Source organism: Homo sapiens, chromosome 11, assembly GCF_000001405.40.
Source record: "Homo sapiens chromosome 11, GRCh38.p14 Primary Assembly".
Classification (NCBI taxonomy): domain Eukaryota; kingdom Metazoa; phylum Chordata; class Mammalia; order Primates; family Hominidae; genus Homo; species Homo sapiens.
Window position 1 is genome coordinate 58396862 of NC_000011.10, and position 18353 is coordinate 58415214.

Here is an 18353-nt window from a genome sequence, read left to right on the forward strand (position 1 = left end):
TACACAGAAGATTGAAACTGGACCTCTTCCTTGCACCATATACAAACATCTACTGAAGTTGGATTAAATACTTAAATGTAAAATCCTAAACTATAAAAACCCTAGAAGACAACCTAGGCAACAGCATTCCGAACATAGGAACTGGCAAAGATTTCATGACAAAGACACCGAAAGCAATGGCAACAAAAGCAAAAATTGACAAATGGGATCAATTAAACCAAGAGTTTCTGCACAGCAGAAGAAACTATCAACAGAATAAACTATCTACAGAATGAGAGAAAATATTTGCAAACTATGCCTCTGAGAAAGGTCTACTATCCCGCTTCTATAAGGAACTTGAACAAATTTACAAGAAACAAACAACCCCATTAAAGAGTGCCCAAAGGACATGAACAAACACCTTTCAAAAGAAAACATACATGTGGCCAACAAGCATATGAGTCCATTTTTTTTTTAATGACAAGCTCCTAAATAGAAAGGTGGGAGAAAGAGTAATATTTATAGGTTTTAAGGCTTGCTCTGGGGAAAAGAAGTTCTAGTTTCTATGGTCCACCATGGAGAAGAGTAATTCTGGTTTCTGACCTATTTTGGGGAAGAAAGAGGGGAAAGAGACAGGAGGACAGGGGAAGATCAGAAAGACTGGTTCTGAGGCTGCTTCTGAGGCCTTCCAATGTCCTTTAGTTCAAAGTGCTCGTCATGACAAAGTGTCATACTTTGGGGTGTCATTTTCTAAGCCCCAACAGAGACATCAGTATGAACTCATATTTAGTTTAATATAATGAATAAATTTAGAAATAAATATAGTTTGCTGTGACTACAGGGTACAGAAATATATACTTAGTTCTTTTGATAAAAGAGCCTGGAAGAAGTGAAACAGCAGAAACAGCAAGCGCACCCTGTGTCCAGATGTTGGCTTGTAAACACCATTCTCTATCAAAATAAAGAAGCCTCTTTGTAGAAGCAGTTGACTCTGTGACAGTGGTAGGAAAAATACAAGATGAGCTTAGAGCATCATGTAATGCCCTAATGATTATAAATAAATAAATGAGAAAGGAGACAAATCTTGCTTACAGAAAAACTCCAAATAAGTTGTTTAAACACTGATCTCAACAGGAGGTGCAGCTTAGTTCCCACACACCAACAGTGTGAGCTGGAATTAATGATTTGTTTCTAAAGAATAGAGCAGAGAAAGGGGGAACAAAAGTAACTGTATGAGAGATAATTAAGCAAACTTTACCTAGGATCTGTGATCATGTTAAACTCATCACTGATAAGTCATGTTGATAGCATGTGTCCATGATATGATGTGCTAGAAGAGAAATTTTATCACTGATATGACTTGAAAAACAGTACAGCCCCAGTAAAATAATGCGAAAACCTCAGAAAAACATAATTTCCATTTCAGACATTCTATGGAATGTCTCAACAGCACTCCCTCAAAACACAGGGAAAGATGGACAATCTGTCATAACTAGAAGAGATTAAGGAAACCTGACAACTAAATGCAAGAAGAGGAAAATAGTGGATAAATGAGTGAGATCGGAATAAGGTCTGAAGTTTAGAAAGTAATAGTGTGTCAATCTTTTTTTGTTGTTGTTTTGACAAATGTACCATCATATTGTAAGATTATGACATAGGATAAATCAGGCAAGTGTTTGTGTTAGATTTGTAAAGCTGCTGTTATAAAACATCACATACCAGGAAGCTTAAAACAACAGGTGTTTATTCTTTCACAGTTTGGAAGCCAGAAGTCCCAAATCAGTGGCACTGGACTGAAATTAACACATTAGCAAGGCCTGCTTCCTTCCTAAACTATAAGTGAGAATTTTATTTCTTGCCTCTTCCATTTTATGGTGGCTGCAGGTATTCCAAGCCTTGGGGATCACATCACTTTAGTTTCTGCTTTCATGGTCACCTTGCTGACTCCTCTTTTGTCTGTCATCACATCTCTCTGTCTTCTTCTGATAGTGACATATGTGGGCCTTTAGGGCTCACACAGATAATCCACAATACTATCTCCGTCTTAATCACCTCTACGTAGTCCTTTTAGGCAATATAAGGTAAGATCGAAAGGTTCCAGGAATCAAGATGCATAAAGAATGTGCATTATAATAGCCTATTGAATTTATGCTATGTTTGCTACTGACAGACATTGTCATGTTTATATTCTACATGGACGTTTAGAATCATTTCAATTAATTCTATAATTTATGTGTATGAAGTAATTTTCAAATATAATTAGATATTAAACCTTAAATAATTTCACATTTAACGTATTTTTATGATTTATTAAAGTAGTATTTATTTGATATATTATTGTCTACTTAATGAGACATCACATCTAAGTAAAAATTATGAGATGGCTTCAAATGAGCTACTTGATGATAGAATTTTCAGGAAACGATTGTCTAAAAGTTGGAGAAAAAGTGCTTAGAATATACGTAAAAATGTTTCAGCAAAGAAATTACCTGTGTCTTTTGAAATGAACTATATGTCTGTCTAGAAGGCTTATATTATAGATGGTTTACTATCATCATGAATGGTTCAAAGTTTCAACATATTGATACAATTAGACTCAAAGCTTAATTATTTTATCCATTCATTTAACAAATACTTATTGAAAATCTCCTATAAAACACACTCATTTAGGTACTAAAGATTTTATTTTATTTTATTTTTTATTTATTTATTTTTTTTTTTAATTGAAATTGAATTTATTGGAAGCAGATACAGTTCTCTGGGGAGAAAAATAATCTTAAAAATGACAAATATTTGAACTAGCAAAATGCATCTTATAGCAATACCTTAAAAACTATAATATTAAAAACTGTTTGGCAGAGAACTAATTATTTTTCAGTCATACATGTAAATTAAAGTCCCACTTGGTTTTGCCTAAGGTAAGTCACGCTTAACTGAGTACTGGCTGTTTGGCTTTGTGCTCATGTGGCCCCAGGCCCTGAAGGGCTTTGCATATTATTGGGGCTCTGTAGGTGAATCAGTTATGGCCTTTGTCTCAAGTCCAAGTGGGAATCACCAGAATGTCTTAACTTTTGGCACAAAAGAGGCTTCAGTTTATACAGACTATCAGTTTGTACCCCGACTATTCACAGGATCCAGCAAGAATAGGATAGAGAAAGGTGCCTTATATGTGGCTGAAGACTTATTTTTCTGTATTCCTTGACCTTCCTTTTTCCCCCTTTCTGTAAGCAGGGGAAAAACATTTGCTGTAGCACCAGACATACAACTCAGTCCCCTTTCATCCTGCTATGTAGGTATAGGTACATCTTTCTCATTAACTCTCCTACTTCCCTTGTCATACAAAGAGATGTTTTTCTTCCTGGGAAGTAGCAGGGTAGTTTTTTGGGATATTTTAGCTCTGAGATGAACAGCTTCTTTCTGAGATCTTGTCAAAGATAATCTCCAGGGAAGCACGCAGTTTTGTACACCACTATTGTTATTTCTCTTCTCCCAGGGTTTTGTTTACAAAGGAATTTTGTGTAATTATGATTTCCCATAGACTTTTCTGATAGTTTATGATACATGGAGACATAAGCAATTGAATGGGGGTGGGGAGGGATTCAATTAAAAACTAAAAGGACAGTCCAAGAATAATGCTGAGGGCCATGGGCAAAAAAGATTTGGCTCTAGAATTCACTAAGTTTCAAAGGTAAAAGAAGCATGAGAACGTGCCACTATTCATCACCTTCACTTTAACCCAGCATCTCTTATTAAACCATAACATAGCCTCAAGATTTCTTGAAAGCTCACTTCTTTTTCTGATACAATGCACTGTCAGCGACCATAAACTATCAGAAAGGTACTAAAGATTTTATAAACAACAAAAAATTAACTGCTTTAATGAAGTTTGCATTCTGGTTGGATAGAAGGATATAAAGTAAACAAGTGAATAAATATACAGGAGAGTGTGAATAAAAACGAGGAAGAATAACACGAGATGAGGGGTAGTGTACATGGGGTGGGGAGAGGGATTATTTTATAAAGGTGGTGAAGGAAGGACTCTATGACTGGGTCACATTTAAGGAAAGACCTGAATGGAGTGAGGAAATATTATGCACAGAGAACAGCAAGTGCACAGGCCCTGAGGTTGGAGCATGCTTGGAATTGTGAAAAACAGCAAGGAGAGCAGCCTGGACAAAATGGAGTAAAACACAGGTGAAGCTGCAAAAGGTGGTGTATGTCAACTAAAATAAGAATGAAGGAGCAGAATTAACCATTTCAAAGCATTTGCAGAAAGAAAAATGTACACTTTTTGTTTCTTAGTACATTTTTTAAACAATGTAAAAGTTGGTAGTAATATACAAAGAAATGCTTTTATTTTTACTCAGTTTTTCTGGTACTCTAGTTATTTTATCCTTTTAAAATTTAAAACATGAACATGTTGCTTCTATAAATCAGTAATGACACAAATAAAAAAATTCATATGAGATGCTATATTTACATATTCTTGATAAAATGTGCTAAGGAAAAGCATATACTTTCATTTAATAATATGTTTTTTTAAATAAAATGAGGACTCCTAAAACAGTATTCAGCTAAATAAATTTAAAAGCATTAGGCTTAACTTTATATTCCACTACCCAAATTAAGTATTTAAATTATTTTTATCAAATATTAGTGTATTAGCGTTCTACAGAGAAACAGAACAGAGAGATGGATAGATGATAGATAGATAGATAGATAGATAGATAGATAGATAGATAGATAGATAGATGATACATAGATAAAAGGAGATTTGTTATGCGAACTGGCTCATGTGAATATGGAGGCTGAGAAGTCTCACAATATACTATCTGCAAACTGGAGAACCAGGAAAGCCAGTAGAGTAATTTGGAGTTTGAAGGACTGAGAAAGGTCAGGACAGCGTTGTGGAACTGGTATAAGGCCTGGAGGCCAAAGACCCGAGAAACCAGGAACTCAAATGTCTAAGAACAAGAGAAGATGAATGACCCAGCTCAAGAAGAGAGAGAATTCATCCTTCCTCCACCTTTTTGTTCTTTTCAGGTGAGCCCTCAGTAGATTGAATGATGGCCACCCATACTGGTGATGGCAGATCTTCCTCAGTCTCCTGATTCAAATATTAATCTCTTCTGGAAACATCTTCACAGACATATTCAGAATAATGTCTAAGCAGCTATCTGGGCATCCCTTAATCCAGCGAAACTGACACATAAAATTAACCATCAGAACTTGCCACATTACATTGAATCCAGGCACACTTTCCACACCTATGGAAAATTCCCCACTTCATGGGAAACCTTCATGTACTTCTATTAATGGACTTGTTTTTGCTCTGGTTTTATGCATATTTGCATTGACATGTGGTAGAAAAAAAATGGATGTAGAATAAATGAATACATTAATATCTTTAAGGTTTTTGGCAAGGAAGTCCCAAGATGTCTTAGCCATTCTTGTTCAGATGTTATGTTTCTGGACATAATGTTTCCTTTTATTTAGACAATAGACTTTTAAACAGGCATGGCAATCACTTCAGGAATTTAACTTTATTGTGGACCTTAAATGTGATTCAGAACATGGAGAAGATCCGAGAGAAATAAAACTAGGTTATGGTGCATCCCACAATGTTAAACTGACCATCCTACAGACAATTTTGCCTTCTCAACAACTTTCTTGAATGCACTCTTCACTTCCTTGTTCCTCAGACTATAGACCAGAGGGTTCAGCATGGGGATGACCATTGTATAGAACACAGGTGCCATTTTGTCTGTGTCCATGGAGTGACTGGAGCTGGGTTGTAAGTACATGAAGATAATAGTCCCATAGAAGATGCCGACTGCAATGAAATGAGAGGCACAGGTGGACAAAGGCTTCTGGTATACTGAAGCTGAGTGCATCTTTAGGATGGTGATAAAAATGAATGTGTAGGATATCAAGATAACCAGGAGAGCTATAAAGATATTGAAGCTCACAACATAAATAAGAACAAGCTCGCTAATATGTCTATCAGAGCAAGAGAGAACCATGACTGCTGGAATATCACAGAAAAAGTGATGGACTTCATTGGACTTACAGAAAGAGAGACTAAATGTGTCCCCAGTGTGGATGGAGGCATTCAGGAAACCACAGAGGTAGGAGCCTATGGCCAGACGAGCACACACAGTTGTTGTCATGGTTGTGGTGTAATGTAGGGGTTTGCACACTGCTGCATAGCGGTCATAGGCCATTGAGGCCAAGAGGTAATTTTCCACAGTGGCAAAAGCTACAAAGATATACATTTGAGCAGCACATGCATTGTAAGAGATGACCTTGTCTTCTATAAGGAATCCAGCCATGACGATGGGAGTGACAGCTGAAGAGTAGCAAAAGTCCACTAGAGACAAGTTACTGAGAAAAAAGTACATGGGATTGTGGAGACAGGAATCCCAGAATATCAATACAATAATTCCCAGGTTTCCAACCAGAGTGATAATATAGATGAAGGGGAACGTTATAAAGAGGGGAACCTGCAGTTCTGAGTCATTGGTTAGTCCTAGAAGAATGAATTGTGTTACTTCTGTCTTATTTTCCATCACTGCTCTGGGGGACTCACAGGATGCTTGTAGCAATACAAAAAAGAACAGTGTGATAAATAAATTGAATTAAAATTGAAAAGTATAAGTACAATATGTATTCCTTCATTGTAGCAATAACTTGTACTTCAAGATTCCCTAGAAAAAGCGCGGCCTTGACAACCAAATGCAGTGCATTAATTATACAGAGTTACATACTGTTGAAACTGAAGAATCTTAGTAGATTATCTACACAACTTTTAGATATTATAAATGTGTAAACTCATATTTATAAAATTTACTAACCTGATCAAGATGACTCATCTAGATGCATCTATCTGTCAATTTACTTTTCCTGAGCACAGTAAAAGCTGACACATGTTGCTAATTTACCAAGAACTTCTCTAGACATTTAAGATATATATTCATTATTTCCTTTCTACAATATTATGTATTTGATTAGTTGTTGCATTCATTTAAATTATGAAGCACAGGAGGTTGAGTAACATATTCATATTTATACAAGTATTAAATGGCAAGCCATGCTTTGGACCCATACCAACTTTTGAACCCATGCTGAATGGTTCCTAAATCTAATGGTCTAAACTGAATTTAAATCAAATTGAATACAACTGTATTTACAATCACTCATTGTCTCCTTTGGTACAAACTCAGTGTTTTGAGTTTCACAATGAAGTAAGCAAGTAATATATGCTTAGTAAATGGGCTGGGGTAACAGGGTTGTTTGGGGCATGTTCAACTACCAGAAACAATTCTGAGAGAAGCCTATCACCAAACAGAGCAGATACAGAGCTTGAGTTCTTGAAAGAGTTGCGTATCAGTCCACGACTTACCACCTGGGAATCACTGGTTCTAATCTAATTCCCTTAAACATCACATTTTCTTCTGTAACACTAAAACAGTAATGTGACCTACTTTGAGGTATTATTGTGAGAATTAAATAAGATAATCCATTAAAAATGCTAGATGTTAAGCACAGCCTAATGAGTGCTAGTTATAATATTAAATATTATTATTAGATAGGTGATAATCTTTTTGTTGGTTTGATAAAGGTGGATGGTGACAAGCAGGGCTGCAGGCATGGGTGAGCTTTGAAATCTTGAAGCTCCCACCTCCAATTTTCTTTTCCTCCATGCTAGGACCACTGAGATTTTCTGTGTTCTTCAGTGATTTTCAGGTTGTTCTTCCTCCAAGCAAATGATTGTCTGCTCCGGAAGATTCACATGAGCCTTTCTTTTTCTTAATTTCTCCCTTGAAATCCACATTTTAGTGTGGGTAAAAAAGTTTCTTTTTCCTAAAGCCATTCTTTCTCTTATTACTGTTATTCCATAGTTAAATCAAAGATTAAGGGTTAAAATTTCCTACTTTATGGGCTATCTTTATTTAGCTCACAGATCTGATTTGGTGGCAAGTTCCATGTGATAAAATATTTTATTTGAATCTATTCTTGTTTTGGAACAATATTTTAGTATTTATTTATTTTAATGTTTTAAAATTTCAACTTTCATTTTAGATACAAGGGTTACACGTGCAGATTTCTTACGTGGGAATATGCATGATGCTGAGGTTTGGAGTATGGATCCTGTCACCCTGGTAGTGAGCATACCATCTGATAGGTAGTTTTTAAGCCCACCCTCTCTTTCTCCATCCTCTAGTAGTCCACAGTGTCTATTGTTCCCATATTTATGTCCATGTGTTCTCATAATTTAGCTCTCACTTATTAGTGAGAACATGAGTTATTTGGTTTTCTGTTCTTGTGTTACTTTGCTTAAGATTATGGCCTCCAGATTCATCCACGTTGCTGCAAAGGACATGATTTCATTTTTTAGGGCTATGTAGTATTCCATAAATCTAGTGTACAGATTACTATTTGACCCAGTATATACTCAAAAGGTAATAAGTCATTTTACTAAAAAGACAAATACATATGGTCAACCTAAATGCCCATCAATGATAGACTGGATAAAGAAAATGTGGTACATATACACCATGGAATACTATGCAGCCATAAAAAAGAACGAGATCATCTCCTTTGCAGGGACATAGATGGATCTGGAAGCCATTATCCTCAGCAAACTAATGCAGAAACAGAAAATCAAATACTGCATGCTCTCACTTTTAAGTGGGAGCTGAACGATGAAACCACATGGACACATGGTAGAGAACAACACACACTGGGGCCTGTCAGAGGATGGTGGGTAGGAGGAGGGAGAGCATCAGGAAGAAAAGCTAATGGATGCTGGGCTTAATACCTAGGTGATGGGATGATCTGTACAGCTAATCACCATGGCACATCTTAGCTATGTAATAAACCTGCACATCCTGCACACGTAGCCCTGAACTTAAAAGTTGGACTTTTTTTTTAAAAAGACACATGTACCTGTATGATCATCAGCACGCTATTCACAACAATGAAAGCATAGAATCAGCCCTGGTGCCCGTCAGTGGTAGACTGGATAAAGAAGATGTGGTACATATACACCATGGAATACTACACAGCCATGAAAAAAAGAATGAAATCAGGAATAATACTTTAAGTCTGTGTATTTGGATTGGGGCCTGGAGAAGGGTGTCCAACCAATACTAACTACTGTTTCCTACTGTCTTTCTTTTAAACACTTGGCAACTTCACTTCCCAAGCCTGACCTATGAAGGTGTTATGTTGCTAACTTTAACATACCTGACCGCATTTAGCATACACTATGTTCTACAACCAATAATAAAAACTTTATATATAAATAATGTGTGTGTATATGCGTGTGTGCGCATGTGTGTGTGTGAGAGAGAAAGAGAGAGAGAGTTAGATAGTATTATTACTTTATCGTTAAGAACATTGACAATTTGAGAAGTGATATGATGCTCCAAAATTATATGACTAGTTTGAGAGTCAAGGTTCAAGAGTTAAATCCATCTTCAATCTAATCAAAAGTCAAAACTTTCAGCCACATCACTGTCAACATAGGTAGATGCGCTAATAGTAATGAGATTATAAAAAAAGTTAAAACACAGGTCATAGCTCGTTAATTCATTTAACACCTTTTTGTAGTTTAAAGAATGAACATTTCACTTGTTTTTGTTTGTTTTTGGTTTTTTTTTTTACCACTCATGAGAAACCAATATATAACAAACAGATAAAATTACCACCTAGTCAGTCAGAGCATCATCTATCTTATTTTTTGTTCATATCTTTGGAGGAAGAAGCACATTTCATAAGAACCACTAAATTTCCTATAATGGAACATTTATGCCCTATGCCCACCTCAGTATTTTAGAAAAAATGTTGAAAACATCTATTTCTGCTCTCAAATAGCTTATAGTAGGTATAGCTGCCCCACTGCTTTTGCATGAGTTACACTTGTCTCTAAAATGTTTCTTAGATATAGAAGCTTACCTTACAGCTGGATGAGCAGAAACAGTCAATACAGAATAGTTGTTCTGCAATCAGAAAATCAGCCATGGAACATTGCATTAATATGTTTGGAGAAGCTTGCTTTCAGATAGTGGTCAACAGGTTTCAAGGTCTCTTAGGCATGGAGAAATAAAGGGAAGAGCATTAACACGGAAAAAGTCCTGAATCTACTATTAATTCTTTCTGTGAACTTAAAGGAATTACTTATCTTCCCCTTTCTTGAGAAAATAAACATGTTAAGATTACCTCTCTCACATAATTCACAGAATTGCATCTGTAAAGAACAAGTAAGGGAGGCCTGTAAAACATCTTGCTAAGGGGCCATCATGCAAAAATCAGTCAATGTAATTTTTAACTCGGGATGTTTTCCCTGAGCAGGGTTGAAGCTTCATAGCAAAGCCTCAGGTCAGAAGGCATGCATGAACTAAAAACAATTATCCTTTAGATGAATAAATTATGATCTGCAGAGCTTTGTACACAGTGTGGTCTCTCTAAAACTACATCATGTTGGGAGTCATGTTGGGATTTTAGATGCTAATATATGGAGACATGAGGAGAATTATAAGGGCATGGAGATCTCTGGAGATGTCCCCTGTGAGAGGATCTACAGCTCCTCATTCTACTTTCCTGGTGAAGAAGCAATTAAAGCTGCCGGTGGGGATCAAGCTTATTATTTTTAATATGTGCACATAATTTGTGTGCATATTAAATTTATTTTTTTCATTCTCTAATTAATGCATAATTTACATACAGTAATACCCAGTATTAATACACACTTTACTGTACAGTTCTAAGAATTTTGTCAAATACATGGTCACATAATGACTGCAACAATTACATAAAAAAAATTTTCTAAGCCGACTTTTTGGTAACCTCTTTTCCCACCCGCTACCCTGGCAACAAGTAAATTGTTTTTGTCCAAATAATTTTGCTTTTGCTAGAATGTCTTTAAATATAATCCTAGAATATGTAGTCTTTGAGTCTGGCATCTTTCACTTTCACTTAGCAATTGAGACCCATATATATTGTTGCCTATGTCAGAGTTAAATCTTTTTTATTGTAGAAGAATATTGCATTATGTGGACATTACAGATTGTTTTTCTCATTGTGCAACTGAGGAACATTTGTATTGGTTTTAGTGTTTGGTGAGTAGAAATAAAGCTGATCTAAACATTTCATTAAAGATTTCTGGGTGAGGCACTGTGGCTCATGCCTGTAATCCTAGCACTTTGGGATGCCGAGCGGGGTGGATCACTTGAGGTAAGTAGTTGAAGACCAGCCTGGTCAACATGGTGAAGCTCATTCTCTACTGAAAATACAAAAATTAGCCAGGGATGGTGGCGGGCACCTGTAATCCCAGCTACTCAGGAGGCTGGGGCAGGAGAATTGCTTGAACCCGGGAGGCAGAGGCGGAGGCAGAGGCGGAGGCTGCAATGAGCCAAGATTGCGCCTCTGTACTCCAGCCTTGGCTACAGAGTGAGACTCTGTCTCAAAAAAAAAGTTTCTGAGGTGAACATAGATTTTCATTTCATTTGAATAAATATTTATGAGTCAGATTGAATTGTTCTATGGTAAGCACATGTTTATCTGAATAAGAAACTGTCAACATCTTTTCTGAAGATATTCTACTATTTTGAATTCCCACTAGCAGTTCGTTCAAATTGTCTCACCTCTGTATCAGCATTTTATATTTAAAAATTTTTTAATTTAATTTTTATTTTACTTTTTTTGATTTTTCTCTAAGATATCTCCTTACCGATTTTCTTAACACTTATCTACCTTATCACCACAATTCTGGCCTGGGAATGCTTTTCTTTTCCAAAAAAGGAGACAGATTCATCCTTTTGCACACAGATTCATCGCTTTGCACTGTTGCTTCTGAGCCCACACCACACTCCCAAGCAGACTTATCACATCTCTCTTAGTACAAGCCAGTGTCATGATTAAACATTTGTTCTGTACACCAAGGTTGTTGCTTCACCTCAAATTTGAGTAAGAAATGTAGCCTTTTCAAACTTCAGCTTCTCTTCTGTAAGGAAGAAGAAAATACTATCTTGTCATTCTCATAATATTTTCAAAAAGATAATCACATGACGTATTTATAGAGCACAGCACACTTTCTACCATATATCAGGTGTTTGATAGGTTAAATATTAATATTTATTATTTATAATATTTTCCATAGATGGGTCACAAAACAGTGGTACACAAAAAATCCACCTGCTTTTCTACATGTGCATGCCCCATTCCAGCTAGGTAGGACATGTAATAGTTCTAGATAATGAACTATGGAAAGAATTGTAATGTTGGTTGAAACATACACACTACTCTCCACTTATCTCATCTCCTGCTATGATAATCAAAAGGCTTAATGTTCCAGCAGGTGCAGAAACAGATGATGATACCTTCATCAGCAGGTGTCTTTGAGTGACCACATACAGCTTTTCACTTAGCCAGACAACCTGTGTGACAGACATGTCATAGCATAAGTGAGAAATAAATCTGTAGGATGCTGAATATTTATCTTCCAAAATATCAGATTCTAATACCTGGAATCAGTAAATTTTACCTTATATGACAACTGCTTTGCAGTTATGATCAAATTAAGGACAGCAAGATGGAGTTTAACCTAAATTATTCAGTGGGCTGTAAATGCAGTTACCAGTTCCTTGTAAGATGGGGGCAAGAAAAGTGATAGATTAGAATATTTTAAGGGCCTGTTACTCCACAGAAACACTAAAAAAGCAAGCAAAAACTGGCACAATCAACTTTGTTTGAACTCTGGAAAATAGTCAAGGATCTACAGAAACAAAGTGAATGATGATTCAAGAAAAAGGCGACCTCACATGACATTTTTAGGAAGTATCTGTTAAACTGCTACGTGACCACAAGTACAGAGACCTCAGAGGACACATATGACAATAAATACATTCTTTCAAATATTTTAATAAAACTCACTAAATAAACAACTGCACCCAGAGCAAGCAACAACAAATGAAACTGGGGATAGAAGGGGAGATAATTTGACTTCCAGAATTACCATATTATAATATTAAAAATGTCAAAATTTCAACCAAAAATAGGAGACATACGAAGGATCAAGAAACCATTTCCAACTTCCAAGAAAACAAAAATTAACAGAAATTGTTCTGAGGAAGCATAAACGTTATGCTTAGAAGACAAAAATATTAAATCAATTGCCTTAAATGGGCTCAAAGGGATTAAGGGGAAAAAATTGACAAGGAACTAAAGAAAACTAGGACAATGGTGTTTCAATATATAATAAATATTAATTAAAAATAAAAATTATTTTAAAAAAGGTAAAATTTCTGGAGCTGAAAAGTACAATGAGTGAAATAAAAAATTCACCAGAGGGTTTTAACAATATTTGGCAAGAGAAGGAAAAAAATCAGTGAATTTCTTTCCTTCCTCCTTCCCTCCCTCCCTCCCTCTTTTCCTTCTTTCCTTCCTTCCTTCCTTCCTTCCTTCCTTCCTTCCTTCCTTCTTTCCTTCCTTCTTTCTTTTTGAGACAAAGTCTTACTCTGTCACCCAGGCTGTAGTGCAGTGGTGTAATCATGGCTCACTACAGTCTCCACCTCTTGGCTCTAAGGGATCATCCTGCCTCAGCCTCCCAAGTAGCTGGGGCCACAGGCATGCACCAATACACCTGGATGCATTTTCTTTCTTTCTTTCTTTTTGTGTCAAGGTTCTGCCATGTTGCCGAGGCTGGTTTCGAACTCCTGAGCTCAAGTGATCCACCTGCCTCAGACTCCCAAAGTACTGGTATTATAGACATGAGCCACCATGTCTGGCCAAATAAGTGAATTTCTAGATGTGTCAATTAAAGCAATCTGGTCTCAGGAGAAGAAAGGAAAACAGAATGAAGACAGAATGGAAAGAGCTTGAGACCTCTTGCATGCCATCAAGTATACCAACATGAGCACAAGTAGAGTGCAAGAATGAGAGGTGAAATAAGGGAAAGTTCATAAGAAATATTTGAAGAACTATGGCCACTAACTTCCCAAACTTGATTAACTTCACAAATCTGCACTTACAAAAAGCTCACAAAGTTTAAGAGGGATTAACATGATGTGATCCCCATACACATTACAGTCAAACTGTTCAAAGTGAAAGAATTACAAAAGCTGCAAAATATAAGCAACTTCTCACATACACACGATTTTCACTCATATTCATAAATGATTTATCATCAGAAATCATGAGTCCAAAAGTAGCAAGATGATATATTTTAAGGTATTAAAGGAAAATTTAAACAACTGTCAACTGAGAATTCTACATCTGGCAAAACTAACCTTCAAAAATGGACAAAATACGATCTTCCTATATAGGTGAAAGTTTAGAGAGGTGTTTGGGTCATGAGAGCTCAGCTCTCATGAATGGGTTGATCCCTTCATAGACTAATAGATTAATGAATTCATGGGTTAATGTATTAATGAGTTTTCATGGGACTTGGACTTGTGGGTTTGTAAAAAGAGATCTGAGCTAGCATGCTCCGTCCTCTCACCATATGATGTCCTGTGCGGCTATGAGACTTTGCAGGGAGTCCCCACCAGCAAGAAGGCCCTCACCAGATATGGCCCCTCAACCCTGGACTGCTTATTCTCTAAAACTGTGAGAAATAAATTTCTTTTTAAAAATAAACTATCTAGTTTTAGGCATCCTGTTATAAGCAACATTAAATGAACCAAGGCAATTAATGATGTTGAGCAAATTTTCATATCCCTGTTGACCTTTTGTATGCCTTCTATGGAAAAATAGTTATTCGAGACTTTTACCTATTTTTAAATAGAATTAATTTTTACTACTGATTTGTAGGAATTCCTAATATATTTTATATTTTATTTTTTCAGATGGGGTCTCACTCTGTCACATGGCTGAAGTGCAGTGGTACAATCATGGCTCACTGCAGCCTCAGCATCCTGGCTTCAAATGATCCTTCCACCTCAGCATCCTGAGTATCTGGGACTATAGGCATGCACCACCATGCCTGGCTAATTTTTAAAACTTTTTGTAGAAATGGTGTCTCACTATATTGCTCGGGCTGGTCTCAAACTCCTGGCCTCAAGCTACCCTCCTGCTTTGGTCTCACAAATGTGAGCCACCATGCCCAGCCCTCCTTATACACTTTAAATAGTAACACTTATCAAGTGTAATGTTGGTAAATATTGTCTCCTATTCTGTAAGTTGCCTTTCTATGTTTTTGATGGTTTCTATCACTATGCAGAAACAGTTTGTTGTAGTTCCACTTATTTTAGCTTTTACTGCTTGTGCATTAGGTGTCATATTCAAGATATCATTGCCAAGGTTAATGACAAAAAGTTTATTCCCTAGTTTTTTTTCCTAGGGGTTTCAAGATTCAAGTATATGTTTAATTTTGCATCCATTTAAATTTATTTTTGTGTATGGTATAAGATAAAGATTCATTTGAGTAACATCTTTTGCAAAGATCCTACTTTTGCATGTAGATATGCAGATTTCCCAATACTATTTCTTGAAGAGACTTTCCTTTTCTCATTATGTATCCCTGGCTCCCTTGTTGAAGATCAGTTGACTGCATATTCCTAGGTTTATTCCTGAGCCCTCTATTCTGTTCCACTCTTCCATATGTCTATCTTTATAGAAATATAATACTGTTTTCTTTACTGTAGTCTTTGTAACATATTCTGAAATCAGAACTGTAATGTCTCCAGCTTTTTTCTTCTTTGTCAGGATTGTCTTGGCTATTTAGAGTCTTTGTGGTTTCATATGAATTTTTAGACTATATTTCCATTTCTGTAAAAAAGATGCCATTGGAATTTTTGTGGGGGTTGCATTGAATCTGTAGCTTGCATTTCGTAGTATGAACATTTTAACATCATTAATTCTTCCAATTCATGAATGCAGATATCTTCCAATTTATTTGAGTCTTCTTCAATTTCTTTCATCATTTCTTGTTATGTTTTAAATGTATGACTTTCACCTTATTGGTTAACTTTATTTCTAAGTATTTCATTGTTTTTCATGTTGTTGTAAATAGGATTTTTTAAACTTTTTTTTCAGGTAGATTATTGTTAGTGTATAGATATGCAACGGGATTTTGTGTGTTGATTTTGTATCCTGCAGCTTTACTAAATTCATTAGTTCTAACAGGTGTTTCTTAGTAGTTGTTAAGATCTTCTGTATATAAGATCACATCTTCCATGAATAGAGACAGTTTTACCTATTTCAGTGTCTTTTATTTCTTTCTCTTGCCTAATTGTTCTGGCTAGGACTTTCAGTACTATGGCCAATAGGAGTGATATGAGTGGGCATCCTTGTCTTCTTTCTGATCTTAAAGGAAAATCTTTCACTTTTTAAACTTTGAGTATGATACTAGCTGTGGGCTTTTTACATAGGCTTTATTATGTTAGAGTACATTTCTTCTATATCTAGCCTGTTTAGGGTTTTTATCATTGAAAGGTGGTAAATTTCATTGAATACTTTTCTGCAACAATTCAGATGATCTTGTGATTTTTTATCATTCATTCTGTTAATGTTATCTTTAATACTAATCAGTTTAAACCATGCTTGCATCCTAGACGTAAATTTCACCTGATCATGGTGTATGATTCTTTTATTGTGCTATTGTGTTAAGTTTACTAGTATTTTGTTGAGGATTTCTTACCTATAGTCATCAGAAATATTGTCTGTAGTTTCCATTCTTATGGTACCTTTTCCTTGTTTTGAATGTGAGAATAATGCTAGCCACATAAAATTAGTTTAAAAGTGTTCTCTTCTCTTCAGTTATTTGGAAGAGTGTGATAATAATTGACGTTTCCTCTTTTTAAAAATGTTTGGTAAATTTCACCAGAGAAGTTATCTGGTTCCGAATTCACGGCCGAATTCTACCAGAGGTACAAGGAGAAGCTGGTACCATTCCTTCTGAAACTATTCCAATCAGTAGAAAAAGAGGGAATGCTCCATAATTCATTTTATGAGGCCAGCATCATTCTGATACCAAAGCCTGGCACAGACACAACAAAAAAAGAGAATTTTAAACCAATATCCCTGATGAACATCAATGCAAAAATCCTCAATAAAATACTGGCCAACCGAATCCAGCAGCACATCAAAAAGCTTATCCACCATGATCAAGTGGGCTTCATCTCTGGGATGCAAGGCTGGTTCAAAATATGCAAATCAATAAATGTAATCCAGCATATAAACAGAACCAAAGACAAAAACCACATGATTATCTCAATAGATGCAGAAAAAGCCTTCGACAAAATTCAACAGCCCTTCATGCTAAAAACTCTCAATAAATTAGGTCTTGATGGGACGTATCTCAAAATAATAAGAGCTATTTATGACAAACCCACAGCCAATATCATACTGAATGGGCAAAAACTGGAAGCATTCCCTTTGAAAACTGGCACAAGACAGGGATGCCCTCTCTCACCACTCCTATTCAACACAATGTTGGAAGTTCTGGCCAGGGCCATCAGGCAGGAGAAAGAAATAAAGGGTATTCAATCAGGAGAAGAGGAAGTCAAATTGTCCCTGTTGCAGATGACATGATTGTATATCTAGAAAACCCCATCGTCTCAGCCCAAAATCTCCTTAAGCTGATGAGCAACTTCAGGAAAGTCTCAGGATACAAAATCAATGTGCAAAAATCACAAGCATTCTTATATACCAATAACATATAAACAGAGAGCCAAATCATGAGTGAACTCCCATTCACAATTGCTTCAAAGAGAATAAAATACCTAGGAATCCAACTTACAAGAGATGTGAAGGACCTCTTCAAGGAGAACCACAAACCACTGCTCAATGAAATAAAAGAGGACACAAACAAATGGAAGAACATTCCATGCTCATGGATAGGAAGAATCAATATCATGAAAATGGCCATACTACCCAAGGTAATTTGTAGATTCAATGCCATCCCCATCAAGCTACCAATGACTTTCTTTACAGAACTGGAAAAAACTACTTTAAAGTTCATATGGAACCAAAAAAGAGCCCACATCTCCAAGTCAATCCTAAGCCAAAAGAACAAAGCTGGAGGCATCACGCTACCTGACTTCAAACTATGCTACAAGGCTACAGTAACCAACACAGCATGGTACTGGTACCAAAACAGAGATATAGACCAATGGAACACAACAGAGCCCTCAGAAATAATACCACACATCTACAACCATCTGACCTTTGACAAAGCTGACAAAAACAAGAAATGGGGAAAGGATTCCCTATTTAATAAATGGTGCTGGGAAAACTGGCTAGCCATATGTAGAAAGCTGAAACTGGATCCCTTCCTTACACCTTATACAAAAATTAATTCAAGATGGATTAAAGACTTACATGTTAGACCTAAAACCATAAAAACACTAGAAGAAAATCTAGGCAATACC

General features: G+C 36.2%; 1 protein-coding gene across 1 annotated transcript; it reads right to left on the minus strand.

The window, feature by feature from the left end:
* Positions 1 to 5602: 5602 nt before the first annotated feature.
* OR5B3 (olfactory receptor family 5 subfamily B member 3) lies at positions 5603 to 10013 on the minus strand. Its single transcript, NM_001005469.2, has 2 exons — positions 9940 to 10013; positions 5603 to 6574 (listed from the first exon to the last, which is right to left on the minus strand). Exon 2 carries the CDS (start codon positions 6546 to 6548, stop codon positions 5604 to 5606), a length of 945 nt encoding a protein of 314 aa, NP_001005469.1. The 5' UTR covers positions 6549 to 6574; positions 9940 to 10013; the 3' UTR covers position 5603.
* Between the last annotated feature and the right edge of the window lie 8340 nt (positions 10014 to 18353).